The sequence below is a fragment of the Homo sapiens genome, chromosome 12, assembly GCF_000001405.40.
Source record: "Homo sapiens chromosome 12, GRCh38.p14 Primary Assembly".
NCBI lineage: Eukaryota > Metazoa > Chordata > Mammalia > Primates > Hominidae > Homo > Homo sapiens.
Genome location: NC_000012.12, coordinates 86037303 through 86050982, shown reverse-complemented (window position 1 = coordinate 86050982; position 13680 = coordinate 86037303). Strand labels below are relative to the sequence as shown.

The 13680-nt window shown below is 39.0% G+C and overlaps 1 protein-coding gene across 11 annotated transcripts in view; it reads left to right on the top strand.

Moving 5' to 3' along the window:
• Nucleotides 1-13680, top strand: part of MGAT4C (MGAT4 family member C) — an 883334-nt gene that overhangs the window by 788018 nt on the left and 81636 nt on the right. For all 11 annotated transcript variants that reach the window (NR_147093.3, NM_013244.5, NM_001351286.2 and 8 more), the window contains one exon: nt 1260-1309. Coding sequence is in view for 1 of the 11 variants with exons in the window: in NM_001351282.2 (NP_001338211.1) it covers nt 1290-1309 (20 nt within the window). In the remaining 10 variants the exon portion in view is untranslated. The remainder of the gene's footprint in view (nt 1-1259; nt 1310-13680) is intronic.

Sequence of the window (13680 nt, the reverse complement as noted above, 5' to 3'; positions counted from 1 at the left end):
TCTATAGTTGGGTCTCTTTAAGTTCTGCTTTTCTTCTGCTCCATGCCAGTGAATGAAATCTGGTTTTAGGTCCTAGCCTCTGTGTTCTGTGATATGACTAACTGGCTGTGAAGATAACTTCATGTTAAAAAATGAGTTTATGTGACATGAGAATCCCAAAATACCTACTACTGTTTCAAAATGTCAGTCTCCAATTGCAACTATTCTTGCTGTCTGTGGAAGCTACGGAAGAAGACAAAGAGGAAAAATGTGGAAATTCCAATGGAGGTGTTGTTGACCACAGAAGCTGACCACGGCACATTTAAGTAGAGAGAGAAATGCTGATGGAGATATCAGGAGAGCTGGAGGAATCTGTGCCTCAAGAGTATATAAATGTTCACAGTTGACTCTTGTCTGAAAGAATAATGTTTACATAACACCAAACTTTGAAAAACAACATAATTGGTTCTACTTAGAGTTACTTAAATAGCCCAAAGTAGCACTGAGTTTTTAAAAATATAAATATGTGTTTATGTATAGTGGGAAAAGATAATACAAAATAAGAATATATTTATTTTCTCAAACTACCTTTGCTTAAAGAAAATACACATAATTTTAAAGGCATGTTATCTTTAGAGAATTTTATTCGCTTATTTATTGTTTTATACCTTCACAGTTTTCTTCTGAATACCCTTGTTAACACAGTCTGGCAGACATTCAATAGCAAACTGTGTTCCAGGCAATGAATTTATACTGTTGTAACAGGAACAATCTCTTGAATGTTGTAACCTTTTATATGTGATGGAAAAATCAATAACATGGATAAATGTGTAACAGACTAGCCTGTGCACCTTTTTGGTGAAGTGAAGTTCAGTGATACGGACTGAAGTACTTTCTTAAGGAAAATAACTTTATGCTTAAGTGGAATATTATAAAATATATTTATTTACTAACAGACGTCAATAGTAATATTAAAAGAGACTTATATGTGTGTATCTCTATATTATGTTATATATAATTCAAATATTTAATTTGATACTTTAAATGAAAAATTTAACTTAATACAAAGGTATGTCTATTCTGTGACATGCATACACAGATAAATTATGTTAAAATATTTGGTCTATATTTTTCTGTCAATTTAGAAAGATTTTATAAATATGATCCTAATGCAGTTAGATGGAAAATGGCAAGTTATTACAGAGAATACTTTTTATTTTACTTTTATCAGCAAGAAACCAGTGGGTTGTATTAGTAATATTAGACTTTCTTTTTTCCAGGGTATCAACGGTTTCTGTACAGCACAGATTATGACAGCGTCTTTCTTAAGGTGAGATTCTATGTCATTCATGGTAGTATTCTAAGGTACTACACTTTTTAAATGTATTATCAAAAATATTTAATAAGTAAAATTGTCCTGGAGTAGCTACACATGCCTAAATTGAAAATATTTTCTCATCAGTTTTATGTTATTTCTTCAATAGTGTTGTTTTCATGATAAACTCTTAACAACATTTCTTGAACATTTCTGAGTACAAGCCATGTAACGTGATACTTTGATTAAAACTTGGAAATGTGTTAACCATATAAGAAAATCAAGTTAGAGAACAACAGCAAAACATTCTAATACAACTAATACAATTAAGGCATCTCTCAGAGAGTGCACACACTTGTGCAGGTACACACACACACACACACAGGCGCACACACAGAGAGGATGGTAATTAATATTGGTAACTTTCTCCTAAAATACAAGAACATTAGAATCTTACAATTCTCACAAGCCCTCCAGATTGTTGTGTTAATGAGTAGTTTTGCTCTATCTTCTTTATTATTCCAAGAGTTAGCAATTTTTATTATTGTATTATAAGTTAATTATATGAGATTTACTCACACATTTACTACTTTTTCCCACCATTTCTTATCAGACTTTACACCTTGTCTATCTGCTAAAAGTATATACTGTATCATTTCCTTTAGTAAAGAATTGTCAAGTTTTCTTTGTCTGAAAGTATTTTTATTTTACTCTTACTCTTGAAAAATAATTTCCCCCATTGTGAATCTAGATTGTCAGTAATTTTGCTTGCACCACTGAATAGTTTATTATATTGCTTCCTGGATTCCATTTATTAATGAAAACTCAATTGTTTTCATTGTAACAACTCAGACAGTTGTTACACCTGTCTGGGTAATTTGCATTTCTTCTTGCTGCTTTTAAAGTCTTCTCTTAATCTTTAGTGATCTAAAACTGGTTGTAATATGACTGGATATATTATGTATCCCACTCTAGATTTGTTAGCCTTCTTGAAACTGTCAATAGATGTTTCCAGCAATTCTGGAACTCCTCAGTCAGCATCTCCTTTAATGTAATATCTTCCATTTATTTATTTTCCATATCTCTTCCTTTTTTCACATCATTTCATTATTTATTACTTTGAATCTATATCCAGTTCACTGATTTTATCTGCATAGCTGATATATTTTCATTTAATCTTTTTTAATATTCTAATTTTTATTCATATTTTTTCAAATATGACTTTAGGTTCATGATGTACATGTGCAGGTCTGTTACATGGGTGAACTGTGTTTCACTGTCGTTTGGTATATGAATGATCACATTCACTCAGGTAGCAAGCATAGTACCCGATTTAGTAGTTTTTCAACCCTCACTCCCTCCCTCCCACACTCTCTGCTCTAGTAGTCCCTGGTGTCTGTTGCTGATATCTTTAGGTCCATGTGTACTCAGTGTTTAGCCCCCACTTATAACTGAAAACACGGAGTATTTGGTTTTCTGTTCCTTTGTTAATTCACTTAGGATAATGGCCTCCAGCAGCATCCATGTTGCTGCAAAGGACGCGATTTTGTTCTTCTTTATGGTGACAGAGTATTCCATTTGTGTTAAGAAATTCTGTTTGAGTCTTTTAAAAATTTAGTCATCTTTTTTTTTCTTGTTCTTATGTTCAATCCAAGTTTCTATTTTATTTGTGATTCTATTTACACTCTGTGTTGTTCATGATCAATTTCATTCATGGACTATTATTTTCCGTGTGTGTTTTTGCTGTTGTTTTAACTATGATTGCACACACATAAAATGTTATTTATGAAAATTCTTTGAGGCGAGACTTGAAGTTCTACTCTTAAATTTTTTGCTCCTGCCAATCACTAAGGGGCAATATCAACCCAAGACCAATTTTATACTAACTGCTTTGCTTTTGGTTTTTGAGCAAACAAATAGCATGAATTCATTCAGATCTCAGATCTTTAATAAGGATAAGTTCTTAGTTTTGCTTTTATTTTCTCCAGGCAGCACTCAGGAATGAATATTTCTTTTTAGACCCTTTTTCGCCATGAGGTTTGTTTCTTATTTTATGAGGGAGAGCATTTGCTATTATACTTTCCACTATGGGTGGGCCACAAGGTTTATCTCCTGCATTCTGTTCATCATGAAGCAGTCAAAATGTAATCTCAAACATTCTAAGGTTTGGTAGGAATTTTCACACAGGAAGCTGGCTTTGGTGATTACTTCACCTCTCAGGGTTTCTGTTTTTATTATTATCATAGTATTTGTAGAATTTTTTCTTTCATGCAAAATGAAAGATTCTTATAATGTACATACACATGTGTGTGTATGTAATTTTATTTTAATTGTTTTTCATCAGTAACTTTACTCTGGTTAGATAGATCCAATATGCAGTCTTGAAGCAGAAAAGTAAATGTTTTTGATTTCTAAAGATGCTAATACTTGATTCTTTACATTTTGCGGACAGTCACGAAGAAAAAATTATAGTGATTTATCTTTATAAACAACTGCTATGCCTAGAATAAAGAAATGTTGCAGAAAAAAAGTGCAGCAGTTCTTAAACATTTTGCTTTCAGAATATCAGTTTCTTGAGAATCATTAAGGACTCCAAAGGGCTTTGTTTTGGCGATTTTCATCTATTAATATTTGCTGTATTGTAAACTAAAATATAAATTTTAAAATATTTATTTCCTCTACCACTAAGAATAAACCGATTACCTGTAACAGAGATAGTATATTTTTATGAAAAATAACTGCATTTTTTAAACAAAACAAAAATTAATGAGAAGTTTAGCAGTGCTTTGTATTTTCGCTAATTTCTTTCGTGTATGATTCAATAGAAAACTCAATAGAAGACTGCTGGAGTGTCATACCTGCTACTGTATCCACTCTATTTTGATATCAAACATCATGTAGCCTTTGAAAACCTTCACTGTGTATTGTGACAGAATGAGAATTAAGACAAATAATATCTTAGTATCATTGTGGAAATAAGTTTGATCTTGCAGTTGTTCTCGAAAGTTGCTTGGGATCCCCAGGAGACCCCAATTCACACTTTGAAAACTACTGACTTAATAGCTTACAACAGTTTGCCCCATGAGTCTATAGGTTGCGTGGGTAATTCCACTGAACCTGGTAATTCAATCTGGGCTGGACTTGACTCATCTTACACAGCTTACTAATGTGTTTCTAGTCAGCTATTGGGTTGTCTAAAGGCTGGCTGCTCTAGAATGATCTTGGCTAAAATGATTAGGACCTCACTTCATGTAAACTCTGTACCTCTACCAAAAATGCCTTGGTCTGTTCCCATGGCAGTCAGGGAAGGGTTTCACAAGGGAGAGTTGAAGTATAAAATGACTCTTGAGTCTTAGGCTTAAAATTGTAGGCTGTCAGTTCTACTGCATTCTTTTGGTGCAAACATATTAAAAAGTCAGCTTGAACTCATGAGTGGGGAACAGATTTCACTTCTTGATGGGAGAGGTTACAAAGTCATACCAGAAATGGGGTACATACACAACATGAACCATACAAGACATTGTGTCAGTCAGTCTTCCACAACATCTTATGTTCTCAACATGGAAACAAGGTAAAGTTTTCTTTCCTCATCTTCAAATGATTTAACTCCATTGTGAATACTACAGAAATCTGTAGGGACATGTTAAGAAGTAATACTGCTGTCACCTAAAATTCATTAGTTTTGGCTCTACACTGCAAGTGTTCAGGTAAAACCATAACCTTGGGTATAACCAGACCTTGAGAGACAGGATCACACTAATAAAATACACGATAAATTGATACTGATGACAATATTAACATTACTAATTTTTAATTCACAATAAAAAAGGTAAATATTACTTGAGATGGAATTTTGTGTGGAAATCAGCAAAATCTCTCACATAGTCAAGTAACACCAAGCATGTTATGAATATGCTGTCATTAATTCACTTTTACGGAGACAAGAAATAAACAAAATACATATTTGAGCACATTTCCTCCTTACACATAGACAAATATAGAAATCAGATTGTTGTTCTCTGATTATCAAAATAGACAGTAGGAGATCAGATAAGTAAAAATTTAATAACATCAAGCTAAGAAAGCTGTATTTAGTGATAAAAATTTGGGGGTTTTGTTTTTGTGTTTTCTTTTTCTAACAGAATGGAAAATGCTTAAAGTATTTCTCTCCACCTCAAAGATAATCACACCATTAAGAGGAGAAATATCAAAATTGTATAGCTTGGCTCCCTTTCCTCTGGATCAGATGTTACATGTTCCTCAAATGTCTAGAGTCATGCAAGTAATGCATATGAGTGACATGGTTCAGCAGTAAAATGTGAAGTACTTGTGGAGAGAGAGGAGTGTAGGCAACTAGGATAAGCCTTCCCAATATAAATAGTATTAGCTTTTACTTAGGTCCAGCCAATCGCTGCAATGTAGGAATGAAGATCCATTATTACTCTATATTTTTATTTTAAAAACAAAAGAAGGTTGTCTCAGTAAGATGCCTGACCAGACACACCCAGGAGGAACATCTGCCACCAAGTGACTGAGACATAGGGAAAACTGGTGCACTATGAGCAGATCTTCAGAGGGAAGGCATTGAGGGTGGACAGAAGGAGGACACAGACCCTGGGCCAAAGGAGGAGGAGGCTGGGAACCCTGAACGGGACTACCATGCACCACAACTTATTCCTGGCCCCCAACAACTCTTGGGGAAGGGGTGGATTGAACAGGTGAGGAGCAACCTGCCCTCACCATGAACCTCTGGAATCCTGGAAACCTGAGATACCACAACACCCATGGACACTTGAGCTAGCAGGGAAAGCTGTGTAGAGAGTTGATAGGAGCAGGACTCTATCCTGTGCTGAACTCACGGGGTATGGTGTGGGAACGTCTGCAGTAAAACATAGCTAGGTCTGCTCCAGGGCCCCAACCTGGCAGAGCCCACTTGCAGTGCAAGTGATGGATAGACAACCAAGGTGCTTCCCAGGGGCCCACATCATAGCTCCTTCAACAGCTGACTGTGCCTGACCATCAGAGAGCTCCAGCAGATCGGCTGCTGCTAACACATACCAGCTCACCTGCCCCTTCCCCTGACCACAGCCTCCCCCATGCTGCTTTGCCAGCACTCACTTGCCCACTGTCACTCACCCCACTGTCCTTCCAGCGTGCACACATGCGAGTGGACCTTGCCTCCCCTCCTCTGCCAGAATATGTGTGTGCATGCATCCCCTCACACTACTGCCCACAGAGCAAACATGTGCACAGAAGCTGGCAGCCGCAAACCCACCAGCATCCCAGCCCGACCAATGAACATGTAACCCACCATGCTGCCACTGCTGCTGGCATGTGCAAACAAACATGAATTCTTCTATCACCACTCAGACAAAGCACTTTGGCTGGCACCATCCATGGGATTGTTATGGACTGCAGTCTGGAAACAGCTCAGCCCCTCCAGAACCACAGATTCCTAACCTTGAGGGTCCTGAGAACAAAGCTGGGAGCCTGGGATCATTCCCTCAAAGTTAGAGCACACAGCTCAAGAATGCTGAACTGAGCCTTAGACCCCTAAAATCTTCCAGAAAGAAATCCAGTCAACTGAAACCACCTTAGACCACAATCAAACCCTTAAGGGCAACAAAGAAGATAAAAGCAACAAAACCCATTCAAAGGATAGCAACTTCTAAGATTGAAGAAACATCAGCCTGCACAGATGAGAAAAAACCAGAGAAGAACTCTGGTAACTCAAAAAACTAAAGTGTCCTCTCACCTCAAAATGACCCACGCTGGTTCCCCAGCAATGGTTCTTAACAAGGCTGAAATGGCTGAAATGACAGAAGTAGAATTCAGATCATGGACAGGAAAGAAGATTCAGGAGAAAGTCAAAACCCAATTCAAGTATTCTAAGTGATACAAAAATGTAAAGAGACCAAATTTATTGACTCATTGACATCCCTGAAAGAGAGGGGGAGAAAGCAAACAACTTGAAAACCATATTGGAGGATGTGATGGTTAATATCGAGTGTCAACTTGATTTGATTGAAGGATGTAAAGTATTGTTCCTGTGTGTGTCTGTGAGGGTGATGCCAAAGGAGATTAATATTTGAGTCAGTGGACAAGGAAAGGCAGACCCATTCTCAATCTGGGTGGGCACAGTCTAATCAGCTGCCAGTGTGGCTAGAATAAAAGCAGGTAGAAGAATGTGGAAGGACTAGACTGGCTGAGTCTTCTGACCTCCTTTTACCTCTGCTGGATGCTTCCTGACCTTGAACATTGGACTCCAAGTTCTTCAGCTTTTAGACTCTTGGGCCTACACCAGTGGTTTGCCAGGGGCTATCAGGCCTTCTGTCACAGACTGAAGGCTGCACTGTTAGTTTTCCTACTTTTGAGGTTTTGGACTTGGACTGACTTGCTCCTCAGCTTGCAGACGACCTATTGTGGGACTTCACCTTGTGACTGTGTTAAGTCAAAACTCCTTAATAAACTCCCTTTTATATATACATCTATCATATTAGTTCTGTCTCTCTAGGAACCCTAATACAGATGGTATCACCCATGAAAATTTCCCCAACTTCACTAGAGAGGACACAATATTCAAATTCAGAAAATGCAGAGAACCCTTGTGAGATACTACATAAGATGACCATCCCCAAGACTCATAGTCATCAGATTCTCTAAGATCGAAATGAAAGAAGAAAGGTTAAATGCAGCTGGAGAGAAGGTCACTTGCAATGTGAACACCATCAGGCTACCAGCAGACTTTTTGACAGAAACCCTATAAGCCAGAAAATATTGGGGGCCTATATTCAGCATTCTTTTTTTTTTTTTTTTTTTTTGAGACAGAGTCTTGCTCTGTTGCCCAGGCTGGAGTGCAGTGGCATGATCTTGGCTCACTGCAAGCTCTGCCTTCTGGATTCACACCATTCTCCTGCCTCAGCCTCCCGAGTAGCTGGGACTACAGGTGCCTGCCACCACGCCCAGCTAATTTTTTGTATTTTTTTTAGTAGAGATGGGGTTTCACCGTGTTAGCCAGGATGGTCTCAATCTCCTGACCCTGTGATCTGCCCACCTCGAACTCCCATTCAGCATTCTTAATGAAATTCCAACAGAGAATTTTGTATCTAGCCAAACTAATCTTCATAAGCAAAGGACATGTAAGATTCTTTTCAGACAAGCAAATGCTATGGGAATTCCTTGCATCAGACCTGTTGTACAAGAGGTCCTGAAGGTAGTGCCAAATATGGATAGGAAAGACTGCAACCAGATACAACAAAAACGCATTTAACTACAGAAACCATTGACACTATAAAGCAACTACACAAACAAGTTTGTATAAAAACGAGCTAACAACACAATGACAGGATCAAATCCACACATATCAGTATTAACCTTGAATGTAACCAGGCTAAAGGCCTGAATTAAAAGGCACAAAGTGGCAGGTTGGATAAAGAAGCAAGACCCAATGATATGCTGTCTTCAAGAAACTCATCTCTCATACAGTGTCATCCATAGGATTAAAGTTAATGGATGGAGAAAAATCTGCCAAGGAAATGGAAAACAAAAAAGCAGGCATTGCTATTTTAATTCCAGACAAAACAGACTTTAAACCAACAAAGTTCAAAAAAGACAAAGAAGCGTATTACATAATGGTAGAGGAATCAATTCAACAGAAGACCTAATTATCCTGAATATATATACACCCAACACAGGCACACTCAGATTCATAAAGCAAGTGCTTTGAGACCTATGAAGAGAGTGAGATAGCTACACAATAACAGGAGGAGGGTTCAACGCCCCACAGAGCACATTAGGGAGATCATCGAAGCAGAAAACTAACGAAGATATTCAGGACCTGAACTCAACCAAATGGACCTAATAGACACCTACAGAACTCTCCACCCAAAAACAACAGAATATACATTCTTTTCACGTGCACACGGGTATACTCTGAAATTGACTGCATAATTGTCCATAAAACAATTATCAGGAAAATCTAAAAAAGCAAAATCACACTAACCACAGAATCAGACCACAGCACTATAAGAATTTAAGTCAATACTAAGAAGATAACTCAAAACCATGTAATTACATGGAAATTAAACAACCTAATCCTGAATGACTTGTGGGTAAACGATGAGATTAAGGCAGAAATCAATAAATTCTTTGAAACTTATGAGAACAAAGATACAACATACCAGAATCTCTGGGACAAAGCAAAAGTAATGTTAAGAGGGAAACTTATGGTGCTAAACAGCCACATCAAAAGTTAGAAAGATTTAAAATTAATAACATAACATCAGACCTAGGGGAACTGCAGAAACAACAGCAAAGTATCTCAACTTCAAAGCTAGCAGAAGACAAAAAATAACCAAAATCAGAACTGAAGGAACTGGGGACACACAAACCATAAAAAAAAATCAACAAAATTAGGAATTTGTTTTTTGAGAGAATAAATAAGATGGACAAACAAGTAGCTACACTAATAAAAAAGAAAGACTATCCAAATAAACACAATCAGAAATGGTAAATGGGACATTACCACTGAGCTAACAGGAAAAAAAAAAATGGGCAAGATGGCTGAATAAGAAAAGCTCCGGTCTGCAGCAACCAGCCAGATTAATGCAGAAGGTGGGTGATGTCAGCATTTCCAACTAAGGTACCCGATTCATCTCATTGAGACTGGTTGGACAGTGGATGCAGCCCAAGGAGGGTGAGTTGAAGCAGGGTGGGGCGTCGCCTCACCTGGGAAGCACAAGGGCTCGGGGAACTCCCTCTCCTAGCCAAGGGAAGCCATTAGGACTGTACCATGCACTCCGGCCCAGATACTGTGCTTTCCCATGGTTTTCGCAACACACAGACCAGGAGATTCACTCCAGTGCCCACACCACCAGGATCCTCGGATTACAGCACAAAACTCAGCAGCAGTTTGGGCGGACACTGAGCTAGCTGCAGGAGTTTTTTTTTTGTTTGTTTGTTTGTTTGTTTTTTCTCCATACCCCAGTGGTGCCCAGAATGCTAGTGAGACAGAATCATTCACTGCCCTGGAAAGGGGGCTGAAGCCAGGGAGCCAAGTGGTCTGGCTTGGGACTGAACTCTACCTGGGACACTCAAGCTTGGTGAGGAGAGGGGCTTCCGCCATTGCTGAGGCTTAAGTAGGCAGTTTTACACTCACAGTGCAAACAGAGCCATGGGGAAGTTCGAACTGGGCAGAGCCCACCACAGCTCAGCAAGGCCACTGCAGCCAGACTGCCTCTCCAGATTCCCTCCTCTCTGGGCAGGGCATCTCTGAAAAAAAGGCAGCAGCCCCAGTCAGGGACTTACAGATAAAAGCCCCACCTCCCTGGGACAGAGCACCTGGGAGAAGAGGTGATTGGGTGCACAGCTTCAGCAGACTTAAACTTCCCTGCCTGGCAGCTCTGAAGAGAGCAGCAGATCTCCCAGCACAGTGTTTGAGCTCTGATAAGGGATACACTGCCACCTCAAGTGGGTCCCTGACCCCTGTGAATCCTGACTGGGAGACTCTTCCCAGTAGGGGCTGACAGACACCTCATACAGGAGAGCTCTGTAATGGGCTGGCATCTGGCAGGTGCCCCTCTGGGACAAAGCTTCTAGAGGAAGGAATAGGCAGCAATCTTGGTTGTTCTGCAGCATCTGCCGGTGGTACCCAGGCAAACAGGGTCTGCAGTGGACTTCCAGCAAACTCCAGCAGATCTGCAGCAGAAGGATGTGACTGTGAGAAGGAAAACTAACAAACAGAAAGGAATAGTATCAACATCAACAAAAAGGACATCCACTCAGAGAACCCAAATTAAAGTCACTGACTTCAAAGATCAAAGGTAGATAAATCCACAAAGAAAGCGAAAAACCAATGCAAAAAGGCTGACAATTACAAAAACCAGAACCCCTCTTTTCCTTCAAAGGATCACAACTCCCTGCTAGCAAGGGAACAAAATTGGATGGAGAATGAGTTTGACAAATTAACAGAAGTAGGCTTCAGAAGGTGAGTAACAACAAACTCCTCTGAGCTAAAGGAGCGTGTTCTAACCAACTGCAAGGAAGCTAAGAGCCTTGAAAAAAGGTTAGATGAATTGTTAACTAGAATAACCAGTTTAGGGAAAAACATAAAAGACCTGATGGAGCTGAAAAAACACAGCACGAGAACTTCATGAAGCATACAAAAGTATCAATAGCCGAATCCATCAAGTGGAAGAAAGGATATCAGATATTGAAGGTCAACTCAAAGAAATAAAGTGAGAAGACAAGATTAGAGAAAAAAGAGTAAAAAGAAACAAACAAAGCCTCCAAGAAATATGGGACTATGTGAAAAGACCAAATCTACATTTGATAGGTGTACCTGAAAGTGATGAGGAGAATGGAACCCAGTTGGAAAACACTCTTCAGGATATTATCCAGGAGAACTTCCCCAACCTAGCAAGGCAGGCCAAAATTCAAATTCAGGAAACAGAGAGAACATCACAAAGATACTCCTCGAAAAGAGCAACCCCAAGACACATAATCATCAGATTCACCAAGGTTGAAATGAAGGAAAAAAATATTAAGGGCAGCCAGAGAGAAAGGTTGGGTTACCCACAAAGGGAAGCCCATCAGACTAACAGTGAAACCCTACAAGACAGAAGAGAGTGGGGCCAATATTCAACATTCTTAAAGAAAAGAATGTTCAACACAGAATTTTATATCCTCCCAAACTAAGCTTCATAAGCGAAGGAGAAAAAAAACCTTTTGCAGACAAGCAAATCCTGAGAGATTTTCTCACCACCAGGCCTGCCTTACAAGAGCTCCTGAAGGAAGCATTAAATATGGAAAGGATCAACTGGTACCAGCCACTGCAAAAACATGCCAAATTTTAAAGACCATCAACACTATGAAGAAACTGTATCAACTAACGGGCAAAATACCCAGCTAGCATTATAAAGGCAGGATCAAACTCACATAACAATATTAACCTTAAATGTAAATGGGCTAAATGCCACAATTAAAAGATAAAGCCTTGCAAATTGGATAGAGTCAAGACCCATCGGTGTGCTGTATTCAGGAGACCTATCTCACATGCAAAGACACATATAAGCTCAAAATAAAGGGATGGAGGAATATTTACCAAGCAAATGGAAAGCAAAAAAATAAATAAATAAATAAATAAATAAAGCAAGGGTTGAAACAATAAAGATCAAAAGAGACAAAGAAGGGCATTACATAATGGTAAAGGGATCAATGCAACAGGAAGAGCTAACTATCCTAAATATATATGCACCCAATACAGGAGCACACAGATTCATGAAACAAGTTCTTAGAGACCTACAAAGAGACTTAGTGTTGGGAAAAAGCTAAATGTTGGGAAAAAAGCTGAGACAGGGCTTGCATGTCTGACATAATGTCCAGGGCTCAGGGCATAAACCGCTCGTGGCATCTGGAATGAGTCTAGACTTGCTGGCTCCTTGCTTCTAGCTTAAACTAGAAGAACATGCTCCCCATTATCTCAACTAGCAGAATATGTCCCATATGCTTCAAAGGAAATGCTAAACCATCACACCTGTAGATCATGCACTTGCCCTTTCGACCCCCACATTCTCACCACCTATTTCTTTGTTTGATCACCAATAAAAAGTGTGGGCTTCCAGAGCTCAGGGCCTTCACAGCCTCCATAGTAGCATTGGCCCCCTGGACCCACATTCTCTCTCAAACTGTCATTTCCCATTCCTTTGACTCCACTGGACTTCGTCACCCCCATGACCTGGTGTTGGGTCTGATCACCCCAACGCTTAGACTCCCACACAATAATAGTGGGAGACTTTAACACGCCACTGACAATATTAGACAGATCAACAATACAGAAAATTCACAAGGATATCCAGGGCTTGAAATCCTCTCTGGACCAAGCATATATAATATACATCGACAGAACTCTCCACCCCAAATCAACAGAACATACATTCTTCTCAGCACCACATCCCACATATTCTAAAATTGACCAAATAATTGGAAGTAAAACACTCCTCAGCAAATGCAAAAGAATGGAAATAATAACAAACACTCTCTCAGACCACAGCGCAATCAAATAAGAACTCAGGATTAAGAAACTCACTCAAAACTGCACAACTACATGGAAACTAAACAACCTGCTCCTGAATGACTACTGCGTAAATAATGAAATGAAGGCAGAAATAAAGATGTTCTTTGAAATCAGTGAGAACAAAGACACAACATACCAGAATCTCTGGGACACATTTAAAGCAGTGTGTAGAGGGAAATTTATAGCAGTAAATGCCCACAAGAGAAAGCAGGAAATATCTAAAATTGACACCCTAACATCACATTTAAAAGAACTAGAGAAGCAGGAGCAAACAAATTCAAAAGCTAGCAGAAGGCAAAAAGTAACTAAGATT